Source organism: Homo sapiens, chromosome 2, assembly GCF_000001405.40.
Source record: "Homo sapiens chromosome 2, GRCh38.p14 Primary Assembly".
NCBI lineage: Eukaryota > Metazoa > Chordata > Mammalia > Primates > Hominidae > Homo > Homo sapiens.
This window is the reverse complement of record NC_000002.12, coordinates 54,967,230-54,990,338: the sequence shown is the minus strand read 5'-3', so window position 1 is coordinate 54,990,338 and position 23,109 is coordinate 54,967,230. Positions and strand designations below refer to the sequence as shown.

The following is a 23,109-nucleotide window of genomic DNA, read 5'->3' as shown; positions in this document are numbered from 1 at the left end:
GTGATTAAATCAAACTTATTAAAGTACCGCCTTGTTACCTATTATTTTTGTGGTGAGACATGAAATTTACTCTCAGTTATTTGAAATACATACAACTATTGACTGTTGTCACCCTGGGGTGCAGTAAATCTCAAAAGTTTTTTCTCCTTTCTATCTAGAAACTTTATGCCTTTTGTTCATTCCTATTTTAATATACATTTTATAGATGAAGAAACTGAAATATAGAGGACTTTAGTGACTTTCCTGAGGTCACGTAGCTCGTAAGTTATTCAACCATTTTTTTAGTCTAGGTGACCCAACTATAGAACCTAAGTTTTCTGTTTGTGTGTATTAAGTCACCGTTGTAGGGTACAAAGGCAGCCTCACAGGAAAGAGTGATCCTACCAAGGGCTGTCTTTATCATCACTCCCCGTGTTCTCTCACTGTACCCTCCTAATAAAAAAAAAGGCATTAATTATTAGAACCACTGTTAGCAGAAAGATGCTTACAGTTAGGCCTGTACCTTTAGGTTTTCTAGGTCGCATTCATTCTTCAAGACCCAGCTCAGTTTCCATTTACAGTATTTCACAGTCTTAACATTTCTTCCAGTTTTTCCCTTTTCTGAGTTCTTATAGCAGTGCAATGTTTATTTTATACCTTCATTGACTTGCTTTTATATGTCTTATCTTTCCTAGAATTGTAATGTTGGACAAGACCTTCAAGAATCAGAATGAGTTTTCTCATTCTGCTAGGTTGAGTTACTTGAACAGTTTCACCTCATTAAGTGTTTGCTGATTGCCAGAAACCTATTAGCGTTGCTCTTATCTCTTTATTCAATATGACATTATTCGTAATGTCCCTTTGACAACCTATAGATAGGCCATTTCAAGTTCTTGTCAGTCCTCAGTTGTGCTAGTACAATAGTAGAAACTAGTGGAATAGCACTAAGCGCCTTTAGATGTTTTAGGCAGGGGCTGTAACAAACAAGTTTGGGAATATTTGAATAAATAGTTGAAATCAGAGTTTGAAAACAAACTTCGAAATCATATATAGAATGTTAAATTAATAGCATTCAAGCCAGACCATTTAGGCAACTGAAATAAGTGTTTGAATCCCTGCTATGTACTGGACACAGTGATGGGCATTTAAAATATCCTAAACAGTACTCATGATATACTAGCAGCAGTTAAGGGCTTTGTACTAATATCCAACATTGTGCAGTTCACATACATAGTTTTCCCTACAGAAGTACCCTTAAGAGCAAAGGAAAGTTACATACATCTTAGGGGACCTTGGGGATCAAAACCAAAGCAGCCCTAAAACTGTGATTTTTCTTTGATGTCACCTCTTCTTAGAAAGAGTATATCCATATTTACTATAAATTTTTTTCTCCCAATTGTTCACAGTTCAGAGAGAGATTAATTACATCAGCCTATGAATTCAAGAGCACTTTGGCACACTTCGGGGTTCTCCTTGCATTGAGCATAACCCGATTTTGAGACATCAGGCTATGCTTACTTGATCCCCTCAGTGGCCCTGTGGCCATGTCCAAGAGCAGACATGCTAAATTGGGCTTTGTCTGACTCCTTACTATTAATAAACATTATGTAAATGTGTAACACATTTACTTTTCTTTTTTCTTTGACCCCTAAATTTTTATGGCATTATATCTATCAACTCTTAGAAGGAAGTAGCTTTTCAGGTAATCGAAAGGCTGTTTGTTTTGTCTTTTTCTTTGTAGGAAATTCTTCTTTTAATGATAGCCAGGTTAAGTTACAATTTTGTTTCTAAAAGACAGATCTTAAGAGCAGAGTTATTACTAGCACAAAAAAATCAAATAAGAAAAAAAGCTCATTCATATGTGTAGTTTTTGTATCTCGGCCTTTTTAAATTTATTTTCTGCATATAAATATATTTTGGTATCACTGAAGTATCTCATTTTAGTGTGTTAATATTTTTTCTGTTATTGGAATATATTTATTGAATTATTTGAATATATAGCATGCATTGTATGAGATGAAAAACCCCAAGATGATTTTTTTGGAGACAGAGTCCTGCTCTGTCGCCCATTCTGGAGTGCAGAGGTGCAGTCTCGGCTCACTGCAACCTCTGCCTCCCGGGTTCAAGCGATTCTCTTGCCTCAGCCTCCCGAGTAGCTGGAATTACAGGCATGCGCCACCATGCCTCACTAATTTTTGTATTTTCAGTAGAGACGGAGTTTTGCCGTGTTGGCCAGGCTGGTGTGGAATGCCTGACCTCAGGTGATCCACCTGCCTCAGCCTCCCACAGTGCTGGGATTACAGGCATGAACCACCGCACCCAGCCCCCAAGATTATTTTAAGTAACTCCTTGTTTTGGATTAGAAGTCTTCTAGGCTTTGGAGACATTTAATCATTGTGTATGGCTAGAATGATTTGGTTATGCAGAAATAAATTTGAATAAAAAACATTTCGTGGTCAAAAATAAAGGTGTTATACTAATATACAACTAAGAGTGGGTTTAAAATGTGGGTTATAAAGTTAGTGTTTCTTTAACTTAGTGTTTCTTTAAATTTTTAGGTTTGATTTTACTTTATGTAGTAGCGTTTTTGTTTTCATAGATGGAGCAAATCCAAATTGATAAAATAACATTCTAATTTCAGATTTCTTTTTCAATTTTTAGTTGTTGACCTCCTGTACTGGAGAGACATTAAGAAGACTGGAGTGGTGTTTGGTGCCAGCCTATTCCTGCTGCTTTCATTGACAGTATTCAGCATTGTGAGCGTAACAGCCTACATTGCCTTGGCCCTGCTCTCTGTGACCATCAGCTTTAGGATATACAAGGGTGTGATCCAAGCTATCCAGAAATCAGATGAAGGCCACCCATTCAGGTGAGATGTCTGGAAAACAAGGCATGCATTGGCAATAGTGTAAACAGGATTGGTATTAAGACTTCATCTACTGTCTATAGAGTTACAAGCATGCATTTTTTTGTTAAAGATAATTGCAGTTATTTGCTTGAGCTATACCAAAAACATCTGCTTTTGAGATTTTCTAAAAGTCGTTTTAAAGGCTCATGATGGAGGAGACTGTTTATGTATCATTAAACTAACTCTGCTACTTGTTAGGAATATTTATTAGAGTTAAGCATTGGTTATCTTACTTGAATGAGTGTTGTATCTTTTTAACATGGGTAGGTTTGATGAGGATATTCTTTATTGCTTTTTATGCTGTCTGATAACGTGCTTTCTGATATTTCGTATCTTTCTAGTATGCTGATGTTTTCTGTTATGCTTTTCTTTATGTATTTTCTTTATCTAGTTTCTTCTCGTTTCTTAAGGCTTTACTTTTTAATTATTTTTTGGAGAGCTTTATTTCAGCATCTCCTTGTCTCTCAACTATCATCTTCTACCCTTGTTTTCACAAGTATACTATAGCATTATATAGTTGCTATGGAGACACAACCTCAGCTTGAGTCTTCTGCCCTCACCTCATACTCTGCGTGTTTTTCCCCCTCTTTTTTAATTGACATATAATTCATATACCATAAAACTCATTGGTTTTTAGTATATTCACAGAATTCTACAACCATCACTATTTTCATCGCACAAAAAGAAACTTCCTACTTATTAACAGTTCAACTCCCCAACCAACGCCCGACAACGACTAATTCACCACGTTTTTAAATGAACTTTTCCCCTCAAACTTGTTAATTTCTATCCATAACACCACTACCATGCTAGTTTTCAGGCTCCTGTTTTGATGTTATCTTTGTTTTCATCTCATATAAAGAAAATCACTAAATATTGTTAGGAAAATCACAAAATTTTGTTCTTTTCCACTGCTTCCTCAGTCTAACCAGGGGCCTGTAAAGCAAGGCCATGGCCAAATGCAGTCTGCTGCCTGCTTTTGTAAATAGTTTGTTGGAACACAGCCATGCTCATTCATGTAGCTGGTTTCGTACTGTAATAGCAGAATTCAGTAGTTTTAAGAGAGACCATATGGACGTGAAAGCCTAAAATGCTTAACTATCTGGCCCTTTACAGAAAGTTTGCTGACCCCTAATTGGACTCCATTTGTTACTACATTGACTTGTAGTTACCTCGGATTACTTCAGTTCTTACAGATGATGTCCGATTAATTTTTCTAGAAGTACCACTTTTTTTCTAAAGAGAAAAAAAACAAAAGAAAATGCACCGGCCCTCTATAGACTGTAGGATGAAGTCCATATGTCTTTGTCTTGTCTCTCATTTACCCCTTCCAGAGTTTTGTACCCATGTTCATGCTGCCTTCCTTAGCTGCCTCAGTCATACTTTTTATTTGGTTCTTAGTTTGGTTCAAGACCCAGCTCTTTGGAGAATTTCCTAACCCTGACCCCAAATGATCCGAAAATTCAGTTCCTACTGCATTAACTAAGCCTTTGAAATGTTAATTGTTTTGCATAAGGAGATCATTTTTCTTCAAATAGATTGAGATAATTTAAAAACTATTTCTAACTTGTTAGCTTGAAAGTAGGGGAAACAAAGGAAAAAACTATTTGTGGCAAGGTAATATCTGTTTGGGCATATGACTATGTACCTACCTACAACATGATCCAGTTGATATTAATGGGTAAACTTAAATGGATTTACAGACTTTGAAAGAGGAGACCTACTGAATTATTTTGTTTATTGTAAAGACTGGTGATTTTTCTCTGGCTTTCTCTTTGTGATGAAGTAATGATGTTATACAAGTTTAGGGGGAGAGACCAACATTTATTGAATAGCTCCTATGTGTCTAACCTTTTATGTACATATTTTAATAAGTTTATTTTAAATTTGTGATAATTCTGTGAGATAGGTGGTATCACTCCATTTTATGGGGTGATGGGGAAAAAGTTGGAATTCAGTAACTTGAAATTGTAGTTTGAAAATGGCAGAGCCAGCCAAACGTGTTGGCTCATGCCTGTAATACTAGTGCTTTGGGATCCTGAGGCAGGAGGATTGCTTGAAGCCAGGAGTTGGAGACCACCCTGGGCAACATAGTGAGACTCCCATCTCTACAAAAAATTAAAAATTAGCCAGGTGTGGTGATGCATGCCAGTAGTCCCAGCTATTCAGGCAGCTGAGCTAAGAAAATTGCTAGAACCCAGGAGTTCAAGGCTGCAGTGAGCTGTGATCATGCCACTATACTCCAGCCTAAGCAATAGAACGAGACTCTTTCAAAAAAAAAAAAAAAAAAAAAAAAAAGGCCGAGTCATATTATTATCAAGCCACAAATCATAAAGAAGTATGATTTTTAATTAGTTATGCTGAAATATGTAAAAATATTGTCAAGCCAAAACTTCTAAATTTTCTACCGTTCCAATTTTACACATCATTTGATTTTTGAGGTTTTTGGAAAATATTAGTGATTTATTTCCTTCTTAGAAACAACTTTATTCATTTTTTAAACTTTCTTCAAAGAGATGGGTCTCACTGTGTCGCCCAGGCTAGTCTCGAACTCCTGGACTCAAGCAATCCTCCTGCCTCAATGTCCCAAGTAGCTGGGACTACAGGCATGCACCACTGTGCCTGGCTAGAAACACTTTATATTCTTAAAGTCCTTTTATAGTCATTATAAAGTAAATTCAGCCAACATACCAGTTTAAGCTTGTTGGACAGTTTTTCCTAGTACCCCTTAATCATACTAGTAGAGGTGATATTATGTGGTTTGTATCTAATACCTGTGGTTACTGAGTGATGAACAGTGCTGGCATTGTATTAATATCACATAAATGTCAGTTGAATTAGTGTAAATATCTACAGGATGTCATTGATGGGGAGTACTGTCTTTATGGCTTCTGCTTAGGCATCTTGTCTTCAGCAAGAACAAGTAACAGTGGTACAAAGAAGCAGAATACCAACCAGGGTTATATCAGCCACTTTCCTATATTTCTCAAATTTGGGTAAACAAATAATTGCTGGTTTAAATATCAGTGCGAGTATTTGAGTATTTTTAACTTGATATTAATAATTCAGTTTTTTGTTAATAATTGTCTAACAGTGTGTTAGACCATGTATTAGTAAAGATACATTCCTGGTCCATAACAGCTTATACTCTAGTAGGAAAAATATACAAGTATACATGTGTCTATATTTCAGAGCTGAATCTAGTAAATACTATAAGACTAACACAAAAGAAAGCATTGTTAGAATTATACAGGAGTGAGAGAGAACATCAGGGTTTTATGAAAGAGATTGGCAGATAAGGCTCTATGTATGGGTGAGATTTGAGATGGGGCTAACTGGCTAAATAAGGTATCACCAGAGGTAAGAGAGCATTGCAGATTGGGAAAACCATATGATTAATAAGGGCTACATTAAGGTTAAAAAATACTTAGTGAATGACTCATTTCTGGCTGCAACATAAAGAGTAGTTGGAAGTAAGGTTGGAAAGATTTAGGAGGATGTCCCTGGTTGAAAAGTTGGAGTCATAGAATCACAGAATGTTTGAGCCTGAAGGAACTGAGGAAAGTCTGTTTCTCAAATTTACAGAGTTGGAGCACTTACCCAGAGAAGTTAAATGCCTTTTGCAATGTTGTATAGCTAGGTAGTGGCAGGTCTTCTAACTCTTGCTTGAGTTCAGCCTAGACAGCACTATCTAAGATAGCTCACATAAGGTTATTCTGGCATTGGCTGACGGAATGGATTTGGATGCAGGCAGATCAGAGATTGGTTTGGAGAGTGATAGAATATTCCAGCTCGTAAATAGTAAGTGCTTAAAATAGAGTGATGGCACTGTGAATAAAAACCAGGAGACATATTTGGGGCATGTTGCAGAGGTAAAACTATGGGACAAGGAGTTGTCTAAGATGTTATTTCCACTGTAAGAAACTGGCATCCTGAGACATAGGGAGGTTATGAGGACTACTTCCAACAGATACGAGGGAACACTCAGCACTTCTGAGTTGGTTGTACCCTGCCAAGATAAAATGGCTTCTTTGAAACAGTAATGAAACTGTTTCTTACATTCCTGTGGACTTGACTTTTTCCCCAGTATAGTATTTTTATTTATTTATTTATTTATTTATTTATTTATTACCAATACAATACTTTTAAATTTAACAATTTTAGCCATCTCGGTATGGATTAAAACATCTAGATGATGTAACTCTTATGTTTTGCTAGGATTGCTACTGTGCTTTTGGCAGCCACTTTACAATCTGGTGCTTGACATATTGAACAATTTCCCCTAAAGGTTAGTCTGAGAGAGTTTAGGATTTGGAAATGAAAAAGATCTTTGTTAGGAAAACGTGATGAGACAACATAGTGTCAACTTTAAGAAAAAAAAAAAAACAACCATAGTCATAACTACCATTTACTGAGTGCATCCTTGTGCTCAGTTGCATTAGGCACTTTTCTCACTGAATTCTCATGATAATCTCCACTTTATAAATGAGGAAACTAAGTTTAGAGGGAAGAATAAATAACTTTGCAAAATTACCTAGCCAGGTAAGTGGCAGAGCATCAGATTCAAGCCCAGATCAGTCTGGCTTCAAAGTGTATGCTTTTTCTGTGCTAGTCAGCAGACAGTGCATATCAAGGAAATACCCCTTACTGCTGAGTTTTTATATTGCCCCTAATTTGGAAACAGTTGGCTTTTATAGTAGAATATTTTCTTAATTTCTTACAGATATATAATTTCTGATTGACATTTAGGGGAAAATCACTCCAATTAGTGACAATTATGATGTGTTTTGTTTTCTAGGGCATATCTGGAATCTGAAGTTGCTATATCTGAGGAGTTGGTTCAGAAGTACAGTAATTCTGCTCTTGGTCATGTGAACTGCACGATAAAGGAACTCAGGCGCCTCTTCTTAGTTGATGATTTAGTTGATTCTCTGAAGGTAAGTTTATTTTGCCTTTCATTTTTGATATACCCAGAATTTAGTATCAAGAGAGTTGAGTGTAAAATTCTGTTCTTCTATATTCAAGTAAATGATAAATATTAATTAAATCACATGGCTGTAAACTTGTGTTTTAAAATTCAGAATCCAATCAAATAAGGATGAAGAAGTGCTATTCCCTTTTTTTTTCTGGTCATACTTAATACAGAGAGTCCTGTATTCCTTTTTAAAGGAGAATAAGTTATAAATCATACTTGTGGGCCGGGTGTGGTGGCTCACACCTGTAATCCTAGCACTTTGGGAGGCCGAGGCGGGTGGATTACCTGAGGTCAGGAGTTTGAGACTAGCCTGGCCAACATGGAGAAACCCCGTCTCTACTAAAAATACAAAATTAGCCAGGCGTGGTGGTGCATGCCTGTAATCCCAGCTACTCAGGAAGCTGAGGCACAGGAGAATCGCTTGAACCCGGGAGGCAGAGGTTTCGGTGAGCTGAGGTCACGCCATTGCATTCCAGCCTGGGCAACAAGAGTGAAACTCTGTCTCAAAAAAAAATTATATATATATATAGTAATACTTTCGGAAATCATAAAGATTAAAAGGAAAGGAAATTAATCGGAATTTTGACTATAAGCATAAAGATCGTCTAATGCATTATCAGATTTATTCATTCTGACTTTGCTTTACAGTCTAGCACTTATGTACATGAAAGCTATTTCATATCTTGGACTCTTTCTTATTCTAGATAAGATTTAATATTCTGAAACACTTCAACTAATCTTCAACTGGTAATCATTGGAAGTTTTTCTTTAGTTTTTGGATCTCGCTACATAAGCAGCTGTTAAGAGTCTCACCTTGCAAATAAACTCTCCCAAAGTTCTGACTGACGAAACAGGCACTAAACCACAGTTGTGTAATTTAAGCCTGAAGCACTGGACCTGTAGTGCTTTTCTTTTTCATAGAACTTGTCATTTGTGTTGTATATGCTCTTTCCTGTGACTCTGCAGAAAACAGGCAGACTTGTTTCCAATCTAAGCCTGGGCAGAAATGTAGTGGTGGTAATTCTCATAATTTTTCATTTTTCATTTCCAAGAGAAATGTTCTAGTTTATATTTATCACACATGCCAAGGATATAGTAGTAATAAGGTGACTGGGCCTTTAGACTCAGAAAAACAATTTCTGAACTGGTCAGAATAGGTTTAAGTGCTTAAAGTGCTTTTTAAAAAAAAAAAACAAAAACATTTTAGCCTTTATAACCTAGTAGTTGATACGTTATTTTCAGCTGTTTGCGTCTCTGGGCTTACAGGTATGAGCCACTGCGCCCAGCCGCATCTCTTATTTTTATTTATGACTTGGAACTTAAGTTACTTCCTAATAACATCAAGGGTAAATAATGTAGTTTCCTTTTATTACTTACCTCTTTCGTATAGAGTGGTTGCATTTAGTGACTAAATCTGTAGTGGTGTTTTAAAATGATCTGATGTTAGTCTGTAAATAAAAAGATTACGGTTATGTTGTTTGGCATGCTTGGTTAATAAGTTTCAAAAGAGATCAACTAAAAATATTTTGGAGCAAATGAAATAGAACCTTGTACATACAGCCTAGAGGAAACCAGTTCCTATTCATGTATTATTACCTTCTATACGTAGCTGACTTCTAGGGTAGAACATGTGTGAAAAGTGATTGAGGAGGAGGTACTGATGCCGCTTAAGATGGATGGTTTGTGGGTAGGAATTGACTGAGAAGAAATACTGTCTGTAAGTAGTAATTCAGAGCTTCAAACAGCAAAGGACCATCTCTGAATTTAGTAGTCAAAGATTGGTGGGGGAGAGAGGTGACTTCAAAGAAAAGCCTGGTGAGCTTAGGGGAGAGGAGAGATGCTTGTTGTTTTTATAGATTCAATAAACACGGCAACAGAGATACACCAAAAGTCATCCTCGATGTTTGCACAGTATAGCAGTGAAGGCAGCTATATGTCTACAATTTAACATTTTTCTTGAGAGAAATGTCATTCTTGAATAAATCTATTTTTAAAATTGATCTGGGAATGATTCATTATGCTCTAGTTTTCTGAGTTTGAGTATAAAGTTTCCACTTGTCTTTAATCAAAAGAAAACTTATTTATTCTTTCAGAGAAAATTTTCATCCATACACAGTCCATTGTGTAGATACGGGGCAAGAGGAGAGAGAAAATGTTAGAAAGGGGCTGATGAGATCTTAAGAAACATTTTAAATCTCTGTTTTGCACACGTATTTGAGAATCGAATATGAGGACTTTTTAAAAAAAGTTTTGAGAAATAATTTCTTTGTTAAATCTTATATTTTAATTTCTTTTGAAAACTACATTTTTTTGTAAAAGCAATTATGTTATTCATGAGGAAGCTAGCATAAATGAGAGAAATCGAACTTGATAAGTTCTTGCATTGAGTGACTGCTAATTTGAAAGTAACAGAAAGTAACACATGATGAGACAGATTTCCTTTCTGGAACACTTGTTGTTTCTTAGTATTGAAAAAAAGGACTTTCATTAAAATTATAATTTATCCTTAAGGATTAGCAATCCTTTTAAAAAGAGAAGAGAAGAAAAACGTACTTGATTGGTTTCCCTGAGTTGTGTTTTTGGCAAGCCCAGAGCTCAAGGAAACCTGCTTGGTGACTTCCCCAGCTGGCAATTCATTTAGGACTGCAAATAAGTAACAGTTGCCTCATCATGTTAGCACTTAAAGTGAACCTGGCATTTAGATCTCAAAATCTAGAGGCAAATGAATAAGGCAGGGAATCTGTCCTTTTCTCCCCATGAAAGGTAAAGCCCTTGGTAATTCAGGTGCACACTCTGATAATGTACATGAAAGGTCTTCCTTGATAAACGATAAACCTTGTGATTTTGCCACACAAGAATTTAGCTAAACCCTTTCCTAATGTCATTGTATATGAGTAGTACAGATTCCATGTGTTTGTTTCCATTGAATATACAGAAATACTGAATACTTCCTTAAAACAGCTTTTATTGAAAAAAGGAAGCTGATAAAAATCACTTTGCTTTTTTATAAAAACGCTTGATAGGATTACCTTTCTAGAGAGACTTCTGTGTATGGCCACACTTATCCACCACAGTTTTTGTTTATATAGAGAGCATTTTAAAAAGAAGAAGGTTTTCCTGGCCATGCACAGTAGCTCACGCCTGTAATCCCAGCACTTTGGGAGGCCAAGGCGGAAGGATTGCTTGAGGCCAGGAGTTTGAGACCAGCCTAGGCAACATTGTGAGACTGTTTCTATAAAAAAAAAAAAACTGAAAAATCAGCCAGCCATGGTCGCCCATGCCTGTAGTCCCAGCTACTTGGGAGGCTGAGGCAAGAGGATTCTTGAGCCCAGGAGGTGGAGGATGCAGTGAGCCATAATCATACCACTGCATTCCAGCCACGGCAACAGAGTGAGACCCTGTCTGTTTAAAAAAAAAAAAAAAATTATTAAAATCTTAATCTTAAGTTCCTTAATAGTGGACTGTATTACTTTTTGCCTTTTAGCCACAAAAACTGGTAGGGAAAGTTATATTCTGTCACCCTAAAGCAAGCAAAAAATGTTTTTCCAATTCCCATTCTTTTTTTACTTTTTCAACATAAGGAAAAATGTATTTACCTTGTTTAAACGGATTTATTTTAATGCCTTACAGTCAGATTTTAAATTTATGGGAAGTTTGCTAATAGCTCCAGTCTCTCCAGTTGAGATGAATGTTTTTTCTTATTTAAATAACAATGAGTTTTTTAAAATTTATAGGAAGTAGCTTTTTATTGGAATTACATTGATTTTATATGATTCATAGCTAGGAAAATGGAAACCATCTTAATTTCAGGAAAATGTAGTAGAAATTACTCTCATTTCTAAATTTTTGTCATTTAGAAAAGACATTTTTATCAAGCTCTGTGTTTACAAAATAATAGTTTTTAAACAACAATTTGAAAGAAGTATCTCTATAACTCATTGTCTTCATAAATGCAAAATCTGTTGTGTGCCCTCAAATTTATATCTACATTTTTAGATTCTGGGTCACAATTATCACTAGCTCTTTTTTTTTTTTTTTTTTTTTTGGAGATAGAGTCTCGCTGTGTCACCCAGGCTGGAGGGCGGTGGTGCGATCTTAGGCTCACTGCAACCTTTGCCTTCCAGGTTCAAGTGATTCTCCTGCTTCAGCCTCCCAAGTAGCTGGGACTACAGGTGTCCGCCACCACGCCCAGCTAATTTTTGTATTTTTAGAAGAGATGGGGTTTTGCCAAGTTGGCCAGACTGGTCTCGAACTCCTGACCTCAGGTGATCTGCCTGCCTTGGCCTCCCAGAGTGCTGGGATTACAGGTGTGAGCCACCATGCCCAGCCTACAATTATGACTATTTCCATGTGAAACCATCTTCCTCAGAAATTGAAATTTTAGAGCCGCTCTTGCTAGCATGTGAAACCTTTTCCTTGCTTATTGCCTTTTGGCGGGGGCAGTGAAGGAGGAGCCTGGCCTTTCAAAATGTGATCAAAAAAATAACCAAACTCCAGGGCTCATTAGTCCTTTTATAAACACCGGTGTGAAATGATGGGTATCCGTGTGCCTGGTCCAAGTTTCCTGGTGGTTGACTTGGGCGAATAAAAATAAGACATGTTCTGCAGAGTTCTCCTTTTAAATTCTTGTGTAATATTCCGTTTGTTTTGCTCCTTTGCAATTAACTACAAACTTCTAAGTCCTAGAAAAGATTTCAAGTATTTATAGAGTGAGCAACGATCATTTTCCTAGTCAAATAGTATGGCAAAAATCACTGTTTTAAAAAGTTGTGGCATTAAACTATAAATCCTCCCTCCCCTCGCTTCCCACCCGCAATTATGAAAGAAAAGCATATGACAATGCCTACTGGGCTCAGCTTTTGGGCTAATTGAGTCTGACTGAGCCTTCTTAGCAGGTTCCTGTCTTTTGAAACCTCAAATCCCAAAAAGCTGTCTAATAATTTTACTTTTTTAGGGACTAAGACCAGGTATTTTCAGCAGAGGTTCTTACTTTTCTGTAATTGAGGCGCAACTATAATGTTCCAGAACACAATCTTAAATCTGAAAGTGAGAGGAAGAAAAAAAAAAAAACGGCCTGAGCTCCAGAAATAGCTGACCCAGAAGAACACTAAAATCTAGCTCTCAGGCTCATAGGCAGCTGTTAACATTCACATTTTGACAGCTTCCTTTCAGGTTTCTTGAGCTCTCAGAAAAATTAGAAGGAAGTGGGCTGGGGATATAGAGAGAGTCCAAACTACCAACTAATGAATGAATCTGAAGGAGACACAGAAGGGCAAGTAGAGTTTAGAGTTTGAGAGTGCAGGAAAGTTTTGAAATGGTCAGAACTGCCAGAGTAATTTCTGAGATCTTACTAAGCACTCTCCCACCGTTTGCCTTAAAGATACCCCTTCCCCCAAATTGAAACATCACAAATCTGCAGAGCTCTTTAATCAGGTGTGTTATACACAGTGAATTTAATTCTCTTATTGCCCTGGAAGAAAGATAAACCAGATGTGGCCCTTGCCCCTTTTCAGTAAGTATTTGTTAGATCTTCATTACATTTTAGGCCTCCTTCCTCCAGTCTCGATACTGTGCAATGGAGAGATAAGCTTTGACCTCTTCAGTTAATAAGTATTGGCTATAATGTTGCAAAGTATTTGCCATGGAATCGTGTAGAATTTGTTAAGTCCAAAATGAGAGCAGCCTGTTTGCTTCTTTAAAGTGTTTATTGACCTTATTCCTGCCATGTTACAAATCCATCATTTGTGGTGGATTCCCATTAATAATGGTTACTCTCTAGGTTAGTTCTTGCTGCCACCCCTTTCTCTCCTGGTGGTGTGTTCCCTGAATACACTTAACCACTATTTCTGTTTTGGGCCGCCGAAGTATTCAGTTTTCTCAACATAGCTGCAACATTTAAAAATTATATGATAGCACACAAAAGTGTACATTTCTGGCAACACTGGCCTGGAATATTTGCATGGCCACAGCGTATGGAGCAGGGTTGTAAGTGCCCCTTTGAGAGGAAGAATGCATATCACTGTGTGCCTCAGTTCTCTCCCAGCCTCTCACATACATGTATGTCACCTGCCTGGCCCTAAGGACATTTGAGACCTCCCTGTGTTCTTCTCTTTGTCTTGGGATAGCCTGGCTTTTAGGAAGTGTTCTCAAAGAGGCAAGTGACATTTGAGCCCCTACAGTGGCTCAGGTGTGAAGTCTTGGGCTTTTCCCCTGTGGACTTGGAGTGAAGCCTTGTCAGTGACTGTAATGACCAAATGAGGAGTTATTTTAGCTTGTGTTTGTTACTATCTTCTGTCATGTTAAGGGCATCTTCGTTGCTAGAGTAATTTCTTCTAAAATATGGAAGGTCAACACTTTTCCCTTTAGACTTGTGGATAGTGATGGATAAAAATAACTCTCTTACTCTATAGTAAACTTGCTCAAGTGCAAAAGTTATATTTAGCTTCAGCAATAGGAGTCTATAAAACTGTGAGAGAAAAGCCTTACTAACTGAAGTCATCCTTCAAACCTTTCTACCAGGGGTTCCAATAGCAATTGCTAAGAATACGGCAGCTTAAAAAAATTTTTTTTCAATTGACAGATATTAAGAATGCCTGATATTTACTGACTTGAACATTAGTTAAATTCAGTTAGGGTGACCAGAGTGTTGCTATTTGTAGAACTGTTGCTTGGTAGAGTCATCCAAAGTGTCTTCCTAAGCTGTAATAAATATGCTTACTAATGTTTGACTGCTTAATTAATGGTCAGTAAGCATTCAGTCAGAGTTCGTTTAATACATGGAGAAAGATATATGCTTTAGATCAAGGGTTAGCAAACCACTGCTTGTTTGGGCCACGGCCTGTTTTTGTATAGTGTGGGAGCTAAGAGTGGGTGGTGTACATTTTTAAAGGGTTATGACAACGACACAGAATAATATGAGACACAAACCCTATGTGGCCCATAAAACCTAAAATTCTACTGTCTGGCTCTTCACAGAGAAAGTTTGCTGATCCCCGCTTTAGATAATGGGGGTGCTCTACTACTCCCCTTTTCATTTATAGTGTTACATAAGCCTAAATAATCACTGTAGCTGGTGGCATCATGTTTGTTACCTACTAAGTAGGTCAAAGTGATTGCCAGACATACACATGAAGGCCTTGAATTAGAAAGCAAAGGAACTGATGATGACCAATGTTTAACAAAATTCAGACTGACTTTGTGCCTGATCCTTCAAAGGCTAGAGGTGATATTTTTGGTACCTGAAACGTAATTTCCCTGATAAGTACTCTTTGCCCAATTATTGCTTATCAGCTGAGATATTAATGTCTGAATTATTCAGCTCATATATCTTCAAGCACTCAACTAGTTCATACTTTGAAATCAATTCTAATAGACAATTCTCATAACACCTTTATAGTCTTCCCATTTAAAAGGTAAATGTTGTTAGGGCTGGAGGGGTAAGATGCACCCTTGGTATATTGTCTGATCTCAGCAGAATCAACTACTTGGTAGTGTAGTCCAGAGAAAATGGGTCAAATCTATTAATTATTTTAGGATTTTGAAATTCATAATTGAGACTCGTGACTTAATAGTGAACTGCTCATGGTACTTTACCCAGTCTTCAAGTTGTATGCCTTTTGTAGGTAGGCATTTAGATGGGATGCTTTTGAAAGCATAATTAAGAAACTTTACTTGAATTTTGTTTATAATGGGCTAATGTTATTTTCTTATAGTTTGCAGTGTTGATGTGGGTATTTACCTATGTTGGTGCCTTGTTTAATGGTCTGACACTACTGATTTTGGGTAAGTCTACAAAGCCATTGGGATGAAAAATTGCTGGAAAGATTGTGTGCCAGGAGCTTAGACATTTTAGTGGAGAATATTCTCATTGTATGAAAAGTAGGGGATGAAAATGTGGGCCGGGCGCGGTAGCTCATGCCTGTAATCCCAGCACTTTGGGAGGCCAAGGTGGGCGGATCACCTGGGGCCAGGAGTTCGAGACCAGCCTGGCTAACATGGTGAAACCCCATTTCTACTAAAAATAGAAAAAATTAGCTGGGCGTGGTGGCGCACGCCTGTAATCCCAGCTACTCCGGAGGCTGAGGCAGGAGAATCACTTGAGCCCAAGAGGCAGAGGTTGCAGTGAGCGGAGATCGTGCCATTGCACTCCAGGTTGGGCAACAAGAGTGAAACTCCATCTCAAAATAAGTTTGAGGTTGTATTCTCTTTAAATAAGTTGGTGATACTGCTTCCCGGTTTATTGAAATGCTACCTTAGTTGCTGAAGACAGCTCCTACTAACAAACAGTGATAAACCAGATAAAGGGTGGCTTTATATGATGGTGCAGTCATAAATCTAACCAGGGATACCTTTATTTTATGAAATCTCACTGTGATATGATTTGAAGCTAGAAATGGTTCCTAGCTCTAATAACTGCAGCCTCACACAGTTCATTCATTCCTCTGGAGTGGCTCCTCAACAGCAGATGCATCCAGAGATCCTTATGTTTTTATTCATTCATTAGGAACACTGCTTGGTTATCTTGAGTTGCCAGTTTAATAGTTTTTTGAGTGTTTATTCCTCCCAAATCATTCCGTTCTTTTTGAAAAGTTGTATATTTCCCTTTTCAGCTCTCATTTCACTCTTCAGTGTTCCTGTTATTTATGAACGGCATCAGGTAATTTCCTAACTAACTGCTGACTTCAGAATAGAGCACTCACTCTATTACATGGGATTTACGGATGTATTAGTGCCCATTTTCAATGTCTTACAAAAATGAGAAGTGTGATGGTTTCTTAAGCCTTTAGCTTGACACATAGTAGTGGTTAATAAGATTCTTTAGCAACGGTAATAATTCCTTTATACCTCTCTTTCAGGCACAGATAGATCATTATCTAGGACTTGCAAATAAGAATGTTAAAGATGCTATGGCTAAGTAAGTATTTAAAATCTGCAGTGTTTTTACTAGGATAAGGTGTGCTGGATTGTGAGAACAGTATTTTCATATTGCAGGCATAATGAGTAACAAATCTCTATCAGACCTTAAGTGTGACTTCAGAGTTGCCAAAAGATTGTTTTTCTAACATTTGGACCATTCGTTTCTGGGTTTATTATGTGTTTAAGGCTTTGTTTAAATCTAATTCATGAGGCCAAGGTGGCAAAATTATAGCTTAGAATTAGGCAGCTTTAAGGATTTCATTTATTGTATTAGCTGAATAACATACAAGTAGTTCTTGGAAGATGGTATTTTAAGCAGCAGCAAACAAAACTGATATTTACATTGACTTTTTCATTTTCAGAATCCAAGCAAAAATCCCTGGATTGAAGCGCAAAGCTGAATGAAAACGCCCAAAATAATTAGTAGGAGTTCATCTTTAAAGGGGATATTCATTTGATTATACGGGGGAGGGTCAGGGAAGAACGAACCTTGACGTTGCAGTGCAGTTTCACAGATCGTTGTTAGATCTTTATTTTTAGCCATGCACTGTTGTGAGGAAAAATTACCTGTCTTGACTGCCATGTGTTCATCATCTTAAGTATTGTAAGCTGCTATGTATGGATTTAAACCGTAATCATATCTTTTTCCTATCTATCTGAGGCACTGGTGGAATAAAAAACCTGTATATTTTACTTTGTTGCAGATAGTCTTGCCGCATCTTGGCAAGTTGCAGAGATGGTGGAGCTAGAAAAAAAAAAAAAAAAGCCCTTTTCAGTTTGTGCACTGTGTATGGTCCGTGTAGATTGATGCAGATTTTCTGAAATGAAATGTTTGTTTAGACGAGATCATACCGGTAAAGCAGGAATGACAAAGCTTGCTTTTCTGGTATGTTCTAGGTGTATTGTGACTTTTACTGTTATATTAATTGCCAATATAAGTAAATATAGATTATATATGTATAGTGTTTCACAAAGCTTAGACCTTTACCTTCCAGCCACCCCACAGTGCTTGATATTTCAGAGTCAGTCATTGGTTATACATGTGTAGTTCCAAAGCACATAAGCTAGAAGAAGAAATATTTCTAGGAGCACTACCATCTGTTTTCAACATGAAATGCCACACACATAGAACTCCAACATCAATTTCATTGCACAGACTGACTGTAGTTAATTTTGTCACAGAATCTATGGACTGAATCTAATGCTTCCAAAAATGTTGTTTGTTTGCAAATATCAAACATTGTTATGCAAGAAATTATTAATTACAAAATGAAGATTTATACCATTGTGGTTTAAGCTGTACTGAACTAAATCTGTGGAATGCATTGTGAACTGTAAAAGCAAAGTATCAATAAAGCTTATAGACTTAAAATATGCTTTGGTATTTTCATTTCATGAAATTGCAGCAGATTAAAAATGCACACAGTGGGTAAACTGCTTCAACCAGCGAATGGTAGCTTGTGCTTTTAGAAGGGTTTTTTTCAGCTGATGGTGCAGCTGTTTGTTTGTTTACTGTGGAAACAAAAGTCAACAAATGTGTTTACATAATCAAATTTTATTTGACACATAAAATGTTTAAGTGATGTGTTTTATACTTTGAAAATAAATTCATGCACCAATGTTTTAACTCACATATATCATACAGTGCAGGATTTATGAACATACATAAAATCAAAATCATACCATATAAACGTTTACAAATAAGTTTTTCATGACACACGGACACTATTGCTCTTTAAATATGGTTGTACATGTCATCATTAATCGATTCATTGTTCTTCCACATGGTTATTTCAATGCAAGATCCGATCAGCATGAAGAGTCTAGTACAAGATAGGCAGACATGGTTATCACTCTGCATCACCAGTCACATGGTTACAGAAAACAGAATTGGGACTGCATAGGGACTCTACTGCGGGCCCAACAACCTATTAGTGGATTGATGTAAGGCATTAGTAAATTGGCATATAAAAATAGCTTAATGAGTGATCTAATCCATTTAGAATGCTGAAGCACTTCTGTGGTAAATGTTAGTCTATTCTACAATTGAAAATGCCTCATTTTACCTTTTCTCTAAACTGACAAATGCAAGTAGCCAGTAACTGTAGGTCTAGAATTTTCGTTCACTGACCAGAAGGACTAATAGGCGTCTATGTGCTCAGAACCACCAGTCCCGCACCAACTCTCCTTTCAGTGAGCACTGTCAGCCACATCCTGTAGTCACTGGTCAGCTACATGGAAAGTGTGACTGAGGGGCTTACGGATGGCTTCTGGTAAAGATTGTCCAAGTCATATTCCGTCATACAACCAACTCCAAGGAACTCTAACTCACTTTATAATTTTGATTTACCAGCTATTCCTTGGGTTTACAATTTGTTCTGCAGATAATTTTTTTATAATCTGGACTTGACCTATATAGTTCGCCTGAAGCAATCAAATGAAGTCACCTCAACTCCACTCAGGGTGGTACACCAAGGTGCAGCCTTGGGTTACCCTCATTTATCTTAAGATTTAACGAGATAAGTCAGCTCATTCTCATAGACCTTCCTGAGCCTTTTTCCCCTTCCATTTTGTAGTAGAAGTTTGTTTAACTTGAATTCTATTTTGGATTTTGTGGGTTTGGCATGAAACACAATGAAAACCCATAATTCTACCCTGTCCCGAACTTCAATTCCTTTGCTGCTCACCTTCCCATAAGCAGGTAACCGATGTCTTTCATTTAGGAAGCCTTGGCGTGAACACAGGACAAGGGTGACACACTGAATCTGCTAAGGGTCCTGCAGCCCTCCTCAGCTTTGAGGTTTTAGCACCATATGGAGAAAGGAGAAATTGGTGGGAGGTGAGACAGCAGCCCACACAACTGGAAACTTTCAAAGGCACTTAATGGATATAAAACTCTGCAAATGAAACATTTAAAAATTAAGTTTCTCAACTCCTTTATACATGGCTCATTTGGTTTTGAAAGCTAAACTGGAGAACAGAGGCTAGCGATATTTCTAGTACTTCGGTGCATCTAACTTAGGCTGTCTTGTTCAACTTATTTGTAAAAATGAACATTCTTGAAGTATATAGAAACAATAGCAAAACATCTTTGTAAAAGTTTTGATGCAAATTAAAAGCTACATATTGGTTAGGGTAACCGAGGCTTCAAAATTCGTCAGCGGGCTACATTATCAGATAGGATTTCTTTGTCAATGTAGTTAGTATGTATACTGTTTAGTCTCAGGAACAGAGGCAAGCAGTCTTTAACATTTTAAAACTTGACCTTCCTTCGTGGCATCACGGTTTTGGAGAGTCCAGATTATGGGAGCAGTTGTGTAACTTCTGCAGCGTTTTGAGCTTGTGCATCCGGGGCAGCATGGTAGGCATTTCCCAACGGCTGGTGGCAAGGAGGCACCTCAGCATGGCCTCTGCAGTTGCTGGCTGGTAGCAGCAGCAGCAATAACATAAGAGGCTTCTGGCATTTTACAGACATCGCCACACAAATACACTGAAAAGGCAGATCAAACAGTCATTTTGCATAGCTGGACATCATACTTGTGTCAAGTGGCAAAAAACAATCTTGCCAAGTGCTCAAAAGTCAAGCTCGGGTGATGTATTGAACATTTTGACTTCAAAAGGTAAACCAGGGATCTTGCCACCAAATTAAGATCTATTGCTTTTCTTAAAAGGTCTGTTTTTTTCAGTTGAGTTCTGTTTGGTTCTTTCAGCAGTTTGAATGTCTGTGCTAAATGTTGGTCCGTGAGGACTTCTGGCACTTTGATATCACACTCTCTCCTGTTACTATTGAAAAGGTTTATCACCTCCACTTGAGTCAGAGAGCCCTTTTGAGTGTTTAGCACAGAACCAGGGATCACAGCATGCTCCCATGCCTACAAAGGCCTGCAAGCCCTGCACGGTTAAGGCCACTTCTTTTTTATATTAAAACAAGTCTGTATCCCCTGCATTGGGGTGACCAATTCATTTACGTCTTTTACTCCTAGCTTGTTCACAATTGGGTTGGTGCTGCTTTGAAGGGGTGTTAGCACTTCACAGGGAGCTGCTGGCGGTACTATCTCAAGGGCTATAAGTGCCAGAAGTAGCCAGCACAGCAGGCTGGAGATGGGGGCTCCCAGGCAGGCCATGAGAAATACACAGTGCTTTTGAGTGGGAAGTGGGTTGAGATTCTTTATAGGTGCCTTTCTTACAACCTAACTCAGACCACCAGGAAGTATCAGAAGGCCTGTATTTCATCTTTATCCCCTCAGGAGTTTTGCTTGGGCTGAATAGAACCCAGTATTCATGCTACAATGAAGCTCATCAGAAATGGGGAAGCTGAGTGAGTTAGAATGACCTAGACCTGTTCCTCTATACTCTATTTAGAGTAAATAAAGAAATTCCCAACACTGGTGATCAACTGGGAGTTCTTAAAAGGACATATAGATGAATTTGCATTCTAACCTCCTGATTATGCACAAAAGCCCATGGGCTGCCAAGAGCTTCTACTCAAATCAGCCATCTCGGGTGTCATCCACCTGTCCCTTTCCCCCAGCAGTGCCCAGAGTAGCTATCACATGCCCATGCCATCCCAGGACAGCTCCAGTCACAACCATTGGGTTGACAGTCACCAAAGAGTAAATGCCTTATCTTGGAAAGTACTTGCCTTCATGAGGACTCATGGAATTTCCTGTTTATTAGCCCCACATCAGCCCTCCTCATGCCCCTGGGAGAGGCTGACCCACGGGATGCCTGAGATGGGGAGGGAGAGCTGGCCAGGCCTGTGGAGTAAGAACTGGGTCAGCTACGTTAGTACCTGCAGTCGTCTCCTCCAGTGCTGACCACATACTTGTCATCATAAGAGAAACGGATGTTCGTCACGTGAGCCGAGTGACCGAAGTATCGCTTATGTTTGGCCTGTGAGCAAAAGTGAATGGAGACAGCTAAGAGACCCTGGCTCCTCTCAGCAACCACAGACTACTTCCAGCACTCAAATCCCCTGCTCCCAGAACCTTCCTTCACTGGGGACTTCCATTTGGTCTGGACTCATCTATTAGCCAGCCTTTGGCTGACTTTCCTGCCTCTCATCCTTGCCCCACTTCAGGTCATTTTATCCACCCTCCATCCTCCCTTCTGGCTTCCAGGACTGCCCCTCCAGGAGGTGAAAAACTCATTGCCATATTTCCACTGTACCGGGACAGGGTTTCTCTGTGTCTCCCAGAGGGCCATCTAGACGTGGCCCCTATCTCCTGCAGACGGCCAAACAGAGAACCTGCAGGGAGGTTACTCTGAGGAACACTCACAAATTTTTCTGTGCATGGAAAATCAAAGAGCTTCACCAGCCCAAAGTCATCTCCTGTGACAATGTTCAGGCCAGCGTGGGTCACACATGCGCAGTTGACATCAGCCTTGTCTGCATTTCGTGGCCAGATTCCAATGACTTCATCTCCCAGGACGCTGTTCCAACAGAAAGAGGGGTTAGGATAGAAGGAAGTCACGGCGAAGGCTCCTTGCAGTCAGTCATCACCTCCCAGGGATAAGGAAGAGAGGGATGTTTAACATCAGGGGTCCCCAACAGCCAGGCCACGGAACGGTACTGGTCCATGGCCTGTTAGGAACCGACCGCAGGGCAGGAGGTGAGCAGTGGTGGCGGAGCATTACCACCTGAACTCCGCCTCCTGTCAGATCTGCCGCAGCATTAGAGTCTCATAGGAGTGCGAACCCTATTGTGAACTAAGCATGCGAGGGATCTAGGTTGCAAGCTCCTTATGAGGTGGAACAGTTTCATCCCGAAACCCCACCCCCTACCTGGTCTCTGGAAAAATTGTATTCCATGAAATTGGTCCCTGGTGCTGTTTTATGTAATTCAGTACAGCCATGTGGCTCTCCTGGCATGAAAGCATCTGTCCCCTTCCCCTCTGTACATTTGTGCCAGCTCTTACTGTTCCCCCTCTGCCTCAGTTCCCTACACTCCAAAAACACAAGTTACCCCCATCTTTGATTCTCTCCCTGTTCCCTGTGGTCCTCTTGAATATGTGTGTGTTGGGGAGAACAGCAGGGGTTCCTTTCAACTCACAGACTAAATGGTCTCTTTTCCCATGAATTAGCCATTGTTTCTCATCCTGCTAAGCCGGGGTCTGGCCCTCCCACTCCCTTCCCCTAGCGAATGGAGGCCTCACTGTGCACTAGGATTGGCCAAGAGACGGGAGATGGTTTCCTGTTGAACTTGCTGGAAGGGGTTGGAGACTTGTAGAAGAAATTACACAAAAAGAGGGGCTTCGCATTTCAAAAACCTAGGTCAGATCAAAGCCAGTGACCTAAACTAGACTAGCCAAGAAGCCTCCCACCCTCACCC

The 23,109-nt window shown here is 38.8% G+C and overlaps 2 protein-coding genes across 20 annotated transcripts in view, besides 2 other annotated features; one reads left to right on the top strand and one right to left on the bottom strand.

Moving 5' to 3' along the window:
- Nucleotides 1-18,150, top strand: part of RTN4 (reticulon 4) — a 165,643-nt gene extending 147,493 nt beyond the window's left edge. For all 13 annotated transcript variants that reach the window (NR_135829.2, NR_135830.2, NM_001321904.2 and 10 more), the window contains 6 exons: nt 2,641-2,848; nt 7,686-7,824; nt 15,575-15,644; nt 16,472-16,518; nt 16,718-16,776; nt 17,141-18,150. Coding sequence is in view for 11 of the 13 variants with exons in the window: in NM_001321904.2 (NP_001308833.1) it covers nt 2,641-2,848; nt 7,686-7,824; nt 15,575-15,644; nt 16,472-16,518; nt 16,718-16,776; nt 17,141-17,183 (566 nt within the window). In the remaining 2 variants the exon portion in view is untranslated. The remainder of the gene's footprint in view (nt 1-2,640; nt 2,849-7,685; nt 7,825-15,574; nt 15,645-16,471; nt 16,519-16,717; nt 16,777-17,140) is intronic.
- Nucleotides 15,676-15,877: a silencer, noted in NCBI's record as "fragment chr2:55201598-55201799 (GRCh37/hg19 assembly coordinates)". NCBI's record gives its function as "represses an EF-1alpha promoter that drives an FKBP-Casp9 reporter gene in an ReSE screen in K562 erythroleukemia cells {active_cell/tissue: K562}" and the evidence as "EXISTENCE:reporter gene assay evidence [ECO:0000049][PMID:32094911]".
- Nucleotides 18,314-23,109, bottom strand: part of EML6 (EMAP like 6) — a 248,474-nt gene continuing 243,678 nt past the window's right edge. For 6 of the 7 annotated variants that reach the window (XM_017004098.3, NM_001039753.4, XM_047444300.1 and 3 more), the window contains 3 exons: nt 22,058-22,211; nt 21,571-21,671; nt 18,314-20,268 (listed from right to left, as the gene is read on the bottom strand). In XM_017004098.3, the coding sequence (XP_016859587.1) occupies nt 20,244-20,268; nt 21,571-21,671; nt 22,058-22,211 (280 nt within the window). In that variant the 3' untranslated portion in view covers nt 18,314-20,243. Of the gene's footprint in view, nt 21,672-22,057; nt 22,212-23,109 lie in introns of all 7 variants that reach the window. The other variant, XM_047444299.1, reaches the window with a different exon arrangement.
- Nucleotides 21,853-22,846: an enhancer, noted in NCBI's record as "NANOG-H3K27ac-H3K4me1 hESC enhancer chr2:55194629-55195622 (GRCh37/hg19 assembly coordinates)". NCBI's record gives its function as "activates a minimal SCP1, AML or CMV promoter by ChIP-STARR-seq in primed H9 embryonic stem cells {active_cell/tissue: H9 hESC(primed)}" and the evidence as "EXISTENCE:reporter gene assay evidence [ECO:0000049][PMID:30033119]".